General features: G+C 46.2%; 1 protein-coding gene across 6 annotated transcripts in view, besides 2 other annotated features; it reads right to left on the bottom strand.

The window, feature by feature from the left end:
• Positions 1 to 14475, bottom strand: part of SNTG2 (syntrophin gamma 2) — a 416765-nt gene that overhangs the window by 59435 nt on the left and 342855 nt on the right. The gene's annotated exons all lie outside the window — the stretch shown is intronic.
• Positions 842 to 1564: an enhancer, noted in NCBI's record as "H3K27ac-H3K4me1 hESC enhancer chr2:1310387-1311109 (GRCh37/hg19 assembly coordinates)". NCBI's record gives its function as "activates a minimal SCP1, AML or CMV promoter by ChIP-STARR-seq in primed H9 embryonic stem cells {active_cell/tissue: H9 hESC(primed)}" and the evidence as "EXISTENCE:reporter gene assay evidence [ECO:0000049][PMID:30033119]".
• Positions 1565 to 2288: an enhancer, noted in NCBI's record as "H3K27ac-H3K4me1 hESC enhancer chr2:1309663-1310386 (GRCh37/hg19 assembly coordinates)". NCBI's record gives its function as "activates a minimal SCP1, AML or CMV promoter by ChIP-STARR-seq in primed H9 embryonic stem cells {active_cell/tissue: H9 hESC(primed)}" and the evidence as "EXISTENCE:reporter gene assay evidence [ECO:0000049][PMID:30033119]".

Here is a 14475-nt window from a genome sequence, read left to right as displayed (position 1 = left end):
ACACAGTAAACCACTGAATTTTCTTTCTGCTAGCTCATTGTACCTATTGGGGAATATGTTCACTTTTCTTTGCATGAGGCCCACAAGCATGTTCCGGCAGAAGCTGGAAGCGGCACTTTCCTGAGAAAATTCTGAAGAGCAGTACAATTTACACCGCCACCAAGCAGCAGCGCAGTACTGCAGGGATACCACCAAAAACAAACAAAAACTACATCGGTCACACGGTGCGAGAAGGTCTGCAGTCTGAAGCGCATCCCACCCGCGGCCGGTGGTTTGTGCGGAGGGCGGCCCGGACCAGCACGTGCCGCTTCTGAGGGGAAGCCCGGGTTGGGTTCTCTGCTCCTGGGCTCTGCCCGGAAGGTCTCTGGGCTTCAGGCTGCGGAGCCCGTGAACACCTGCCAATGCACTCGCAGCCATGTTGGTTGAAAGCGAGATTTGTGCTTTAAATGTTTTCATGCGACTCCAGACGAAAGAAGCAGGGACCCTAATAACTTGGTAAAAGTTATTTTTAACAATCTCTGTAATAAATCTGCGGGTAAAATGTTCCCATTTAGAAGAGAAGCGGAGCCATTGCTTTGAGCTGGAGAAATACAGCTGTGGGTTCTGGGCCTGTCTCTGAGCCACCCTGTGACATCCAAACACGTTACTCTTGTGGGAAATGGGTGCTTGATGCCTACACTCTCTCTCTTTCCCTCCTTCTCTCTCTTCTCTCTCTCGCATACACACACACACACACACACACAGTACACGGCTCACACACACCACACACACTCACACACAGACACAGTGCACCGCTAACACCATATATACACACACACATACAGAGTGCATGGCTCATACACCACACACACACACACACACACACAATGCAGGGCTGGCACACACACACAGTGCACGGTTCACATACCACACACACACTTATACACAATGCACGGCTCACCCACCACAGACACAGACATACAGACACAGACATACAGACACACAATGCATGGCTCACACACCACACACACACACACACACACAGCACATGGCTCCCACCACACACACAGAGCACATGGCTCACACACCACACACACACAGTGCATGGTTCACACACTCACACATTCCCCCACACACACAGTCCATGGCTCACACACCACACACACACAGCACATGACACACACCAGACACACACAGTGCATGACTCTCACTCCACACACACCCACAATGCCCGGCTCACACCCACACAGCCTACAGCTCTCACACAGCATGCGGCTTACACACGCACACACACAGTGCGGGGCACACAGCGCACAGCTCTCTGACACACACAGTGCATGGCATACACACGTGCACGCACACAGCGCGGCTCACAGCGCACTGCTCTGACACAGCATGTGGCTCACACACACAGAGTACACAGGTGACACACAGCACATGGCTGACACACACAGTGTGGCTCACACAGCGCACGGCTGACAGTGCATGGCACACACACACACACACACACACACTCACACCCTGGCCGAGGGAGGCTGGAGCCAGTCAGGTCTCAAGTCTCAGGTCTCAGTCCCCAGTCCTCAGTCCTCAGTCCTGCCACGGCTCCGCTCCATGGGCTGCCCACACTGCCTGACAAGACCTCCACTGTCCCCCCGCTCCTGCTGTGCTCGGCCCTGTGGCTGCATAGCTCGGGAGGCTCTTCCTCACTTGTCTCTCATTCTGCTATTGTCCTTTTCCTGGATAGCTGAATGCGTGCCTTCAACATCTTCATGCCTGTCAACCTTTCCTTAGAGATTGTCACAAACACAGTAGCTCAAGTCCCTGCCTCTCCCCTCTTAGAGGAGAGCAGATGGTGGGGGGCCCAAAAGGCTGGAAGGACCCATCTGCCTTGGGCTTCACACAGCTCCTGACCCTTCCAGGATAAACGGGGATCCAGCCAACGCCACACACACAGCCGGCGGTCACAAATACTCTACACACTGTTGGCATTGGCGATGAGAGTCCGAGAGCAGATCACAATGAGTGGTGGCTGAAAAGCACAGTACCAGCCAGCTCCCCTTGCCCACCTTCCATAAACCTGACCCAGAGTGTGATAAGGACTGAGGTTCTATGTGAAAGGCCACAGGAGGTGACATTCTCACAGCTCAGGTTTGAAAGCTACTCAATCTCTAGAATTTAAATCTAGTGATTATAAAATAGGAAATGAAAGTATTCCAAGGGAAATTGCTACATTTTATGTAGACTAAGTAGCTAGCATCATAGGATCTGTAGAAATTGTAAACATCAGTGGCTACTGCTGAATGGCAATGCACACACATGCAGTAATTATAGCCCATCTTTACGGCACAGGACAAAGTTACTCCAGATGGCCACATAAGCACACAACGCATTTGCATAATCTCCAAAGGGGCTTAGGATGAAGGAAAAAGAGAAAGCTTTCATCTAAGGAACCTCTGGCTACACAAAATCTCATTTTCAGAATTAATCAATCAGTATCCTCCCAGACACATAGAGTGTCTCATCATTTGCATTTTTAGAACTTGAGGGAATTTTTTAAAAAAATCTGTTTCCTCATTACTGCTGTACATACAACTCCCACAAAACAGTCTTATCATAGAACTTTCCAAACACAATTCTTTCAACCTAGTGAATGAATGACATGTGGGATTATTTCCAGGCTTCCTCTATGTTTACAAATTTTCCCTTGATGCCTTGGAAGAAACTCTAATTGGCACACACACCCCAAATCCTGAAGGAAGGGTTGCCTCACGGCCCACTTCCCACATCGGAGGGAGTCTGGGAATGTTTATTTTTGTGTACTGGTTTCTTGAAAGACATCCTCATAGACTGCCCAGCAAATTTTGATAAAATTAGTAATTTAAATATTTTCCTGTAACTCAGGGAGAGAATGTCCATGTAACTCATTTGGTGTAGTCATTTGGAATTCTCTAAGATGTTGAGGCTGCAGGAACAACTTACTAGAATAACATTTGATCTACTGATGAAATTATGGAGAAAAGGTATATGCAGAACACTTCATGGTTTGTCTGAAGACAGAGGACAGTCTTTTCATACTGAACTTTATCTCCAGCACATTATATGGTGACCCATAGAAAAATGACCAACTGTAGACCACAGCTCTGGGCTTACAGCAAAGCTTCTGAATCAATTAATGAGTTCAAGAAAAAAAAAAAAGTTCTAAGTACCTCCTTCCACAAGTGACCGAAACATAAAATAGTTTTAGAACTCTTTATATGAAAATATCAAAAATGGTCTTATTAATGAAAGCTTAAAGTAAATGGCTTTGAAGTTCAGCTTTTGGAATAAAATAAACCAAGAGCAATAGCACAGAGCAATCAATATTTACAGAAACCATCAAAAATATAAAGCACAGAATTACCTGAAGAGTTAAAAAAAGAAAGAAAAAAACCTAAGAATACCAGAAATAAAACCATCTTTTTTTTTTTTTTTGAGAGAGAGAGTTTCGCTCTTATTGCCCAGGCTGGAGTGCAGTGGGGTGATCTCGGCTCACTGCAACCTCCACCTCCTGGGTTCAAGCGATTCTCCTGCCTCAGACTCCCAAGTAGCTGGGATTACAGGCGTCCCCCACCATGCCCGCCTATTTTTTGTATTTTTAGTAGACATGGGGTTTCACCATGTTGACCAGGCTGGTCTCAAACTTCTGAACGCAGTGATCCACCCGCCTTGGCCTCCCAAAGTGCTGAGATTACAGGCATGAGCCACCGCACCGGCCAAGACAAGATTTCTTTTCTGTGTTCTGAACACCAAGAACAGGATGCCACAGCCGTGCTACTCAGGTGAGATGCTGTAACTTCAGGAGATGACAGGCAAGTCGCCCCCTTTGATTTGCTCATTTCCAGTAAGGAAAATGCTCTCCCAATAGTGGGCAGTAAAGCAAGCAGCCTGGAAAAGGAACTGGAGTCGGATATAAGAGAAATAACAGCAGGCGTGCATCTGCCACGCGTAGGTCACCTAGTGCTTTCTTGAAGATTGAGTGTCTGTATTAATGGAGAATATTGGTCTGTAGTTTATTTTCTGGAGTGTTTTTGACTGCTTTTGGTATAAGGGTAATTAATGCTTGCTTCAAAAACTTGTGTTTCTCTTCCTTTTTTCTTCTAGAAGATATTATAGAGAAGATATTGGTGTTCTCTTTGACATTTGATAAAATTCTCCAGTGAAATCATCTGAACTAAACATTTCATTTTGAAAGTTTTTAAGCTACAAATAAGTTTTCTTAGTAATGGTAAGGCTACCCAAAGACTCTACAGTGATGGAGTTGTGGCAGTTCGTGGTTTACGAGGAAACAGTCTCTTCAGTTTAAGTTGCGAGATTTATATGTGTAGAGTTATTCATTGTATTTTCATTATCCTGTCGAAGTTTACACAGTCTGTAGTGATATCCCATTTCATTTATTACATTCTCAATTTTTGTCTTCTCTTTTTCTCCTCTTTTTTTTGTGAGTCTTTCTTCTAAACATTTGCCAAATTTAATGATATCTTCAAAGAAACAGCTCTTTGTTTTACTGGTTTCCTCTTCTGTTTTTCTGTTTTTGATTTTACTGATATCTGCTCTTCCTTGGGGTTTATAGTTTATTGTTTCTAGTTTATTGAGGCAAAAGCCTACAGTTTTTAGACCTTTCCTCTTCTCTAATGAATGCATGCTGTTAATGCCGTAAATTTCCTGCGCAGCCCTGATTCAGCTGTGCCTCACAAACTTTGATATATTACAGGGTTCTCATTTTCATATCCTCATTATTTTTTATTTGCCTTGAAACTGCATGTTTGACACATTGCTTATTTATAAGTGTGCAGTATCTAAGTGTTTGGAGAATTTCCTATTATCTTTCTGTTGTTGATTTCAAATTTGTTTCCATTTTAATTAACATTCTTTGTATATTTTCAGTTCTTACAAATTTGTTGATGCTTGTTTATGCCCCCAGATATGGCTGATCCTGCTAAAAGTTGCATGGACACTTGAAGATAATGTTTATTATCCCGTAGTATGTGGTGGGGGGATTCCATAAATGTTTACTGGATTCTTTTAGTTGATGGTACTGTTGAAGTCTTCTATATATTTGCTGATATTTTACCTAGTTGTCTTTCAATTGTTGAGAAGGAGTGTTGAGGCCTTCCACTGTAATTGTAGATTTTTCTGTTTTTTGTTTTTGTTTCAGTTCTCAGTTTTTGCTTCCCATATTTTGCAGCCCCGTTGTTTTGTGAATACTCACTTAGGATGGCTGGGTCTTCCCGGTGGACTGAGCCTCTCATCATCCTATAACGCCACTCTCTCTGCACCTAGTAATTTTATTTTCTCTGAAGTCTCCTTTATCTGATAATAGGGCTACTCTTGCTTTCCTTTGATCAAGGTTACATGAGTTATCTCTTTTTACTCATTTACTTTCAAACCATCTACATGGTTACCTTTGAAGTAAGTTTCTTGACTAGAGCTTGGTCATCTTGTTAATCTCCTCTGCCAATCTCTGTTTCTTACTTGGTGCATTTACACCACTTTCACTTCATGTAATTTATTGATATCTTAGGGCTGAAGACTGATATTTTATTTTTTGTTTCCTGTCTTTGATTTCTCTTTTTTTTCCTGCCTAACTGTAAGTTACTTAAACTTTTTTTTTTTTTTTTTTAGCATTCCAATTTATCTGTATTTTTTTGAGTGTCTCTTTGGATGGCCTTTTTAGAAATTGCTCTGGTTCTCTATACGCAGTTGTATACACATTCTATATACACAGTGGTCCTTCCTCCATGAGTTTAGTTGAAGTATAGAAACCTCACTCCCCTTCACCTTCCTTTTCCCTCCCCCATTTATAGTATATATATTTCAAATAGTTTCTTCATATACATTTAGAATCACATCAGACAGTGTTATTATTTTTTCTTCGACCATAAAACATAATTTAGTAAACACAGGCCGGGCGCGGTGGCTCACACCTGTAATCCCAGCACCTTGGGAGGCTGAGGTGGGAGGATCACGAGCTCAGGAGATCGAGACCAGCCTGGCTAACATGATGAAACCCTGTCTCTACTAAATACAAAAAATTAGCCAGGTGTGGTGGCACATGCCTGCAGTCTCAGCTACTTGGGAGGATGAGGCAGGAGAATCTCTTCAACCTGGGAGGCGGAGGTTGCAGTGAGCCGAGATCACACCACTGCACTCCAGCCTGGGTGACAGAGCGAGACTCTGTCTTAAAAAAAAAAAAAAAGTAAGAAAACTCAGTAGGACAAGAAATGTCTGTGGTGTCACCTGCACTCTCGCTCACCATGGCCCTTCTTCCCTCCTGATGTTCCCAGGTTCCTTCTTTCATCATTTGATTTCTGTTTAGAGAACTTCCTTTATTCTTTCTGGATAGATCTGCTGATACTAAACTCTCTTAATTTTTTTTATCAGAAAATGTTTCAATTTTTTTAATTACTAAAATATATTTTCAAGTGGATAAAGTCTTCTGTGTGCCAATTCTTTTCTTTCAGCACTTAAAACAATATTGGGACACTCCCTTCTGGCCTCTGTAGTGTCTGATGAGAACGCCACTATAATTTGAATCGTTTTTCCTCCCTAAGGGCTGTATTATTTTTCTCAGGCTGCTTTCAAGATTTGTTTTCTTTTTCTTTAGTTTTCATGAGCTTAATTGTAAGGATCTGGGTATGGAATTCTTTGGGCTTATTCTGTTTAGAGTTTGTTCAGTTTCTGGAATATGTAGGTTTACGTCTCTAGCCAATGTGGGGAAGTTTGAGGCCATAATATTTTTTGAGTACTTCTCAGTACTTCTTTTCTCCTGGACTCCAGTGATACAGGTGTTATGCCTTGGTTACATCCTGCAGGTCCCCCTGGAGGACAGCATGGCATGGGTGCAGACGGCAGCTGAGCCTCAGCAGGGCGCGGGGTAAGCAGTGACAACCACAGTGAGTATGTGGACTCTGTGACTCTCCCTCAAACTAAGTAAGGTGCCCAATCCCATGACCCTTCCCCACCATCCACTGAGAGCTCCATGCATGTCACCTTGACCCTTCCCCGCCATCCACTGAGAACTCCATGCATGTCACCTCTGGGGGATGCTGAGGCTTGAGCTGAGTGCTGTGAGAGCTCGGCAGGTCTAAAGCCATCCCATTTTACACAGCTTCAGGCTGTCGGTGGAGAATTTCCTCTCGCACACAGTCAGCCTAATGACTCATCAAATTTTCTAGGGCTCTTGAGAAGCACAATCAATTAGAGTTCCCTTAAATACCTTTTACTTAATTTTTGGACATCACTGCAGAAAATGACACATGCTGCAGTGGCGAAAAATCCAGATAATAAAGATTAAAATAGCTTTTTATAGGACAATAGCTAGTAAACGTAATTAGGATGTGATAAAACAAAATGTGGTATTAAATAGCACACTCAAGTTCATTTTCAAATATATTAAAAATTCACGCTCTAAACAAAAGCATTAAGATTAGCCTTTTAAGTATCATAGACAACATACACAAATGAAGAGCTGGAATTAATGAAGTTAAAGAAGCGATTCTGTTCATTAACAAAACAGGATGCATGGAGCTGTCGGAAGCAACATCAGGATGGGGTATGGGAAGGGAGAGAAATCACATGGGCACAGGTAGCTCTTCTGGGATAGACTGAGAGCCACCTTACAAGCAGGGGCCGGCACGGCCCAGGTGAGGTTCTGATCAATGTGCACCCTGGGGCCGCAGCTTGTGTCCAGGGGGAAATGCTGACCCACCCTGGGGTGTTGAGGGATCTTCCTGTTTTTATCCTGGGGTCAGTGAGCCCCGGGAGGCCAATGCTTTCTTCGGCCTAAAGCAGACTGGATTGTGGAAGGAGACCTGCAGAAAACGCTTTAGCTAACGAAGACCATCAGCCAAGAGTGAGTGGACTTTGAAAGGATTTTCGACAGCACTTCAGAGCGGTGATGGTAACAGTGCCGTCATTTAAAGCACCCTTCTTGCACACCCTTCAGAGCGGTGATGGTAACAGTGCCCTCATTTAAGGCACCTGTCTTGCATGCCCTTCAGAGCGGCGATGGTAACAGTGCCCTCATTTGAGGCACACTTCTTGCATGCCCTTCAGAGTGGTGATGGTAATAGTGCCCTCATTTAAGGCACCCTTCTTGCACGCCCTTCAGAGCGGTGATGGTAACAGTGCCCTCGTTTGAGGCACCTGTCTTGCACGCCCTTCAGAGCAGTGATGGTAAGTGCCCTCATTTAAGGCACCCTTCTTGCATGCCTTCAGAGTGGTGATGGTCACAGTGCCGTCATTTAAGGCACCCTTCTTGCATGCCTGGAACTAGGCTAAGTGCCTTACGTTGAATTCTCATGGTAAACTCACGAGATGGTGCTTTCATCCTCATTTTACAGATGACAGGTGGGGTTTGGGCAGGCACACAGCTTGCCAAAGGCACAGAGGACGGGCTGGTCTCTCTGTCCCTGTGTCCTGACTCCTCATTTATTGCTTCCGGCACCACAGCTCAGCATTGCAGTTGTGCTCCACGTTTCTTGTGGGTTGCTTCACAGGGATGACTTGTGTCCCTCCGAAAGTCATGCTGGAGTCTTAGCCCCCAGTATCTTATTTGGAAGTAGGCTCTTTGCAGAAGAGACCAAGGTGAGGCTGTGCTGGAGCACATGGGGCTCGAATCCTGTGACCAGTGATCTTCTGAGAAAAGGAGACAGAGACCCAGGGAGGAGAGCCAGGTGTGGAGACAGGGATGGAAGCTGGGGTGAGGAGCTGCAGATTGAGGAATGCCAGGGACTGCAGGAGCCACCCAAAGCAGGAAGAGGCAGGAAGGATCCACCTTCTGAACCTGAGGGAGTTCAGCCCTGCCAACCCTTTGATCTCAGACTTGCAGCCTCCAGAAATGAGAGGATAAATTTCTGTTGTTTTAAGCCACTTGGTTTGCGGACATTCCTTAGGGCAGCCCTGGGAAATGTGCGCAGGGCTAGACCAGCAGGGTCAGGACTAGTGACAGATGTGTTTCCACGGCCCGGAAAGCAGCAGTGCAGGGCATGTTCCTGCCTCTGACTGTTGGCTCCCGATGTTGCGCCTTATGGGATAAAAGTATCTTGTATTAGTCAGGGTTCTCTAGACAGACAGAACTAATGGGATAGATATATATCAAGGGGAGTTTATTAAATATTAACTTACACAATCACAGGGTCCCACAATAGGCCATCTGCAAGCTTGAGGAGCAAGGAGAGCCAGTCCAAACCTCAAAACTGAAGAACTTGGAGTCTGATGTTCAAGGGCAGGAAGCACCCAGCATGGGAGAAAGATGTAGGCTGGGAGCTAGGCCCATCTCTCCTTTTCACATTTTTCTGCCTGCTTCATGTTCACTGGCAGCTGCTTGGATGGTGCCTACCCAATTAAGGGTGGGTTTGCCTACCCCAGCCCACTGACTCAAAAGTGAATCTCCTTTGGCAACACCTTCACAGACACACCCAGGATCAATACTTTGTGTCCTTCAAGCCAATCAAGTTGACACTCAGTATCAACCATCACATTTCTGGAGTGGCGCAGGATGGTAAAAAGGCATTTGGAGAGGTGGAGGAGGCAGAGGAAGAAGGGACCCAGGGAAGGCGGGTGTGGAAAGCAGACCTGGTGTTCACCCAGGGGCACCATCCAGGACCGGGGGAGGACAGGGTCTCTACCAATGCTTACTGGTTTAATTCTGCTTCACTGTTTTAGAATGTCTGTGACTTTGGCCTGTCTTCTGTTTACATATTAATTATTTTAAATTAAATGTATAGGCCGGGTGTGGTGGCTCTCACCTGTAATCCCAGCACTTTGGGAGGCCAAGGTGGGTGGATCGCTTGAGCCCAGGAGTTTGAGACCAGTCTGGGCAACATGGAAAATCCCCATCTCTACCAAAAATACAAAAAATTATCTGGGTGTGGTGGTGGGCATCTGTAATTCCAGCTACTCAGGAGGTTGAGACACGAGACTCTCTTGAGCCTGGGAGGCAGAGGTTGCAGTGAGCCGAGATCATGCCACTGCACTCCAGCCTAGGTGACAGAGGTAGACTCTGTCTCAAAAAAATAAAACTAAAAATAAATAAATGAATGAAATGTATATAAAATACACTGTGCTGACATGCTGATAGATTGAAATCCCACCTGCCCCTACTCTGGAAGAAGCACCAGCCCAGTCTTCTGTCCGTCACCCCTTGCAGCTCTCTGCTCTTTGTAACACATAGAGCCCTGGGCAATGGGCCTCAGCTCCACACATTTCTAGATTCATACAGACCAACACGCGCCCTGCTCAAGCCCTGGTTGGGAGTTCTCACTACTCCGTTCCTTGCTGATACTCGGTATTTTCAAACTTGTTAACTTCTGCCTGTCTAGTGTGAGATGGAGTCTCCTAGGAGACTAAATCACATGGTCCTAACGTGGAACGAGGACAAGATCCCTGCCTTCTGGACCTTCTTTTCCATTCTTTCCTTCTCTGCTCTTATCCTGAGAGCTCCTGGGCCACTTTCCTGTCACTTGATGCTTCCAGGGAAAGGCTGGAAAACGACCTACAAGAGCCAGGAAGGAACTGCGGATGCGCCAGGCTGGGCCACTGGGAAGGAGCTGCAGAGGCGACGGGCTGGGCCGCTGGGAAGGAGCTGTAGAGGCGCCGGGCTGGGCTGCTGGGAAGGAGCTGCAGAGGTGCAGGGCTGGGCTGATGGGAAGGAGCTGCAGAGGCGCCGGGCTGGGCAGCCCCTGTGTTGTGCAACTCCAAGATGTTATTAGTGACAGGTGGACAATGTCTCAAGTATAGCTCATGCAATAGACACAAGGCAGCAGCACACATTTAATGGAGATGTGCAAAGTACCAAATATCAGATGGCAAAGTAACGGGTTTACATTCTCCATTGAAAATAAATATTTACATGAATGTGTACTGCATGCACTGAAGTTCAGCCTGGATCCTCCACCTTCAGGTGATGAGTATGGATTCTGCATGAAGACAGAAAAGCTTATTCCCCTCACTTGCAGATACACAAGGTGGGAGGGAACCTGAGGCTGGCAGTGGGGGCATTAGCTCAGGGATCCTTCAGTGGGTGGAATGCAGGTTTCCAGTAGAACGGGGCAATTCGAAACTTCTGCTACTTCCTTCAGGGAAGTATGGAGGAAAATAAAGGACATGCCCCTGAAACATCCCCAGCACATAGAGCTGGTGCCCTGGACAGTGAAGTTAGGCACCCGGAATCTCTGTGAGGCTGGATGTTCTGTTCTGCTTTCTTGAGAAAGTGTCAAATAATTTTCTGTGTCCTGTATCTGGAATTGAAGCAAAAAGGGCAAAAAATGGGCATTGCTACCTGTGCTCTACAAATACAATTTATTGTCAGCCCAGCAACTTCTTCTAAAGCAAGACTGTCGTTAATATCAGAACTCTTCAAAGATGGTGATTTTCTCAGCAAAGGTGGTCTGTTCCTAAAGAGCGTGCTGGGGAGTCTGCCCTGTGCTGACCCGGAAGCAGGTTCCTACACAAAGGCAGAGCTGCTCAGGGACTGTCATTCCAGGGAGGAAAGCAGGAAAATGCAAACAGTGACTGATTCATGAACACGGAGATGCCTTGAGGTCCCTGAGTGACCAGGAAAGGCCCGGCCAGTGTGGGCCAGGAGCCTAGGTCAACCTCTATCTCTGTGGGGGACTGATAAGACCCTGTATTTTTCAGTTTTACTAATACACGGGTAGAAGAGGCTTCTCTAATTGTGAAATGTATGCCTAAGGGGCAGGTAGCGGCGTGCTCACCAGCACAGAGGCTGCTGCTGGGGCAGGGGCACCTTGGGAACATTCTGCAACCCTCTGCCCCTCACTCTGTCATCTGAAAAATGGGAATAACAGTCAAAATATGTATAAGTTTTATAAAAATCAAATGATTAATAAATATACCGTTATTTAACAGTGCCTAGTAGGCAATAAGCACCCAGTTGGTCAGCAGCTGTGCTTGCTGTCATTATTCTAACCAATTCCAGGATGAGTAGATCAGCATTAGCACAGAAGTGGCCATGGTGCGAGGCAGAGGCTTACCAAGTGGAAGCAACTGATAGTGACGTCTGCCTGACCCTCCCACCCCAACACAGGAGACTCAGCCTTCTACAGTGGAAGGCATCGATGGAGACACCTGCCTGACCCTCCCACCCCAACACGGGAGACTCAGCCTTCTACAGTGAAAGCCATCGATGGTGACGTCTGCCTGGCCCTCCCACCCCAACATGGGAGACTCAGCCTTCTACAGTGAAAGCCATCGATGGTGACGTCTGCCTCACCCTCCCACCCCAACATGGAAGACTCAGCCTTCTACAGTGAAAGCCATTGATGGTGACGTCTGCCTGCTCCTCCTACCCCAACATAGGAGACTCGGCCTTCTACAGTGGAAGACATTGATGGTGACATCTGCCTGACCCTCCCACCCCAATACAGGAGACTCAGCCTTCTACAGTGGAAGCCATCGATGGTGACGTCTGCCTGCTCCTCCCTCCCCAATACGGGAGACTCAGCCTTCTACAGTGGAAATCATCGATGGAGACACCTGCCTGACCCTCGTACCCCAACATGGGAGACTCAGCCTTCTACAGTGGAAGCCATTGATGGTGACACCTGCCTGCCCCTCCCACCCAAACATTGGAGACTCAGTCCTCTACGGCTGTCATTCCTATGTCACTCGAAATTTCCTCAATCATTACATTTCTGGGCTACACTTTCTCTGTATTATTATAATAGATGCCTCTGGGAATAGGGTTAAAACTAAGAAACACTGAAGTTACTAAAATGGGTAACTTACTGAAGCGGATACTTTGTATTAAAAAAGGTACTCTCCCTATACAAGTTTCAGCACCTGTTGGAAAAAATTATTCTGGGAAGAGAGTTCCCTCAGAGTGAACGGGGAGAAGACAGGAGGCGGATCCTCAAGCCTGTCTCCATGCAGGCTCCTCACACTGAGGCATGAGACACTACATCCGCCCAGCATGTGGCCGCTTCAGTCTCTGCATCTGAGAGTTCAAAACACTGAAACTCAGAGTTGCCACAGAGCTCATGGCCACACGAGAGTCCCTGCGGCACCACCCTAGCATGAGAGAGAGACTCTGACACTGCCCACTCAGTCATTCCCCAGCATCATCATCTCCCCAGCACTCCATGCGCACAGGGCAGAGCTGGATCCTTCACACTCAGCGCAGCGGGAGTGAACGAGACAGCCTGCGTCAAACGCCTCATCCCAGAGGGAGCCAGGTCAGAAGACGAGCCACACTGTCTACTTCCTCGCCTCTGGGTGCCTGGGCTGTAAACTGTAGAGTGTTATGTTAGCGAGTGGTTTTATGATTCTGCAGGCTTGATTTCTTCCTCCAGACACTGTGTTATTTATAAAGCAAACGATGACACTCACTTCCCTCATATACCTGAGGACTTAGGTTTGTGTTTCTTAAGATGCTAAGATATTTTGTTCAATAATTTCTCATCATATGTTAATATCTGATTCCTGAAATGACCGTTTACCATTGACAGAAAGTGCTTGTGTCCATGTGGTTTGGGAGACCAATGTCCTGCTTACAAGATGGATGATGAACCCCTTTACATGAAGAAGTAGCAGAGAGTGAGTTCCTTTCTGCATTTCTGATTGGAGATTTCTTTAATCTTAACCAGTTTCTACTTTTTAAATATAAATTGGATCATCTGTCCCTCTAAGGTAATCATTCTAGAAACTCATCTACTTTCTCCTAAGAAAGCTAAATCTCTGTTTTTCAGATAAAGAATCTAAGTTTCTCTTATAAATTCATTCATTTCTCAAACATTTGAGCACATAAAATGTACCATGTTTAGAGAGATTAGATGAAATTCTCAAAGCTGCATTCCTTGGGCATGGGAGGGGCATGGCCAGGACCTGAGGGTTGGGGTCTGTCCCTAATGGGACCTGAGGGTTGGGGTCTGTCCCTAATGGGATCTGAGGGTTGGGGTCTGTCCCCAATGGGACCTGAAGGATGGGGTCTGTCCCCAGTGTCCCCATGCGTGGGAGTTGTTCAGCATACCATTCCATCTCCTCCAAAAAATAGGAGCCACTGAGGACTTCAGGGACAGACGATCTGGAGAGGGTGAGATTGCAGGGGTATGCAGAGTGGTGGAGACAAAAGAGAGTTGGGGAAGAGAGTGGTCAGCTAAGAGGCTATGGTGGTGACCAGCCTGAACACATGTGGCACCGTCTGACTTGGACCCCAGCGTTGGGCTGTTCAGGAACATCTTGAATGTTCTTAGTCCACAGGCTTAGAGGACTGTTCTGGGTTCCAGTTTCGGATCAACCAAATGGCACTATTACAGCATCAAAGCAGTCTTCCAAGCTGGTCCTTTTAACTCCTAGTAAGTGCACAAAAGGAAGCCTGCCAGAGGGTCACTTCTCCCATGTAGATATCATACTTTACAAGGTTCGCTCCACATGCTCGGCCGCAAAACAAGCCTTAAAAAATGTTAAAAGATTAAAATTCTATCAATTATCTTTTTT

This window comes from Homo sapiens, chromosome 2 (genome assembly GCF_000001405.40).
Source record: "Homo sapiens chromosome 2, GRCh38.p14 Primary Assembly".
In the NCBI taxonomy this organism is placed as follows: Eukaryota; Metazoa; Chordata; class Mammalia; order Primates; family Hominidae; genus Homo; species Homo sapiens.
Note: the sequence above shows the minus strand (reverse complement) of the source record. Positions and strands in the feature narration are given on the sequence as shown.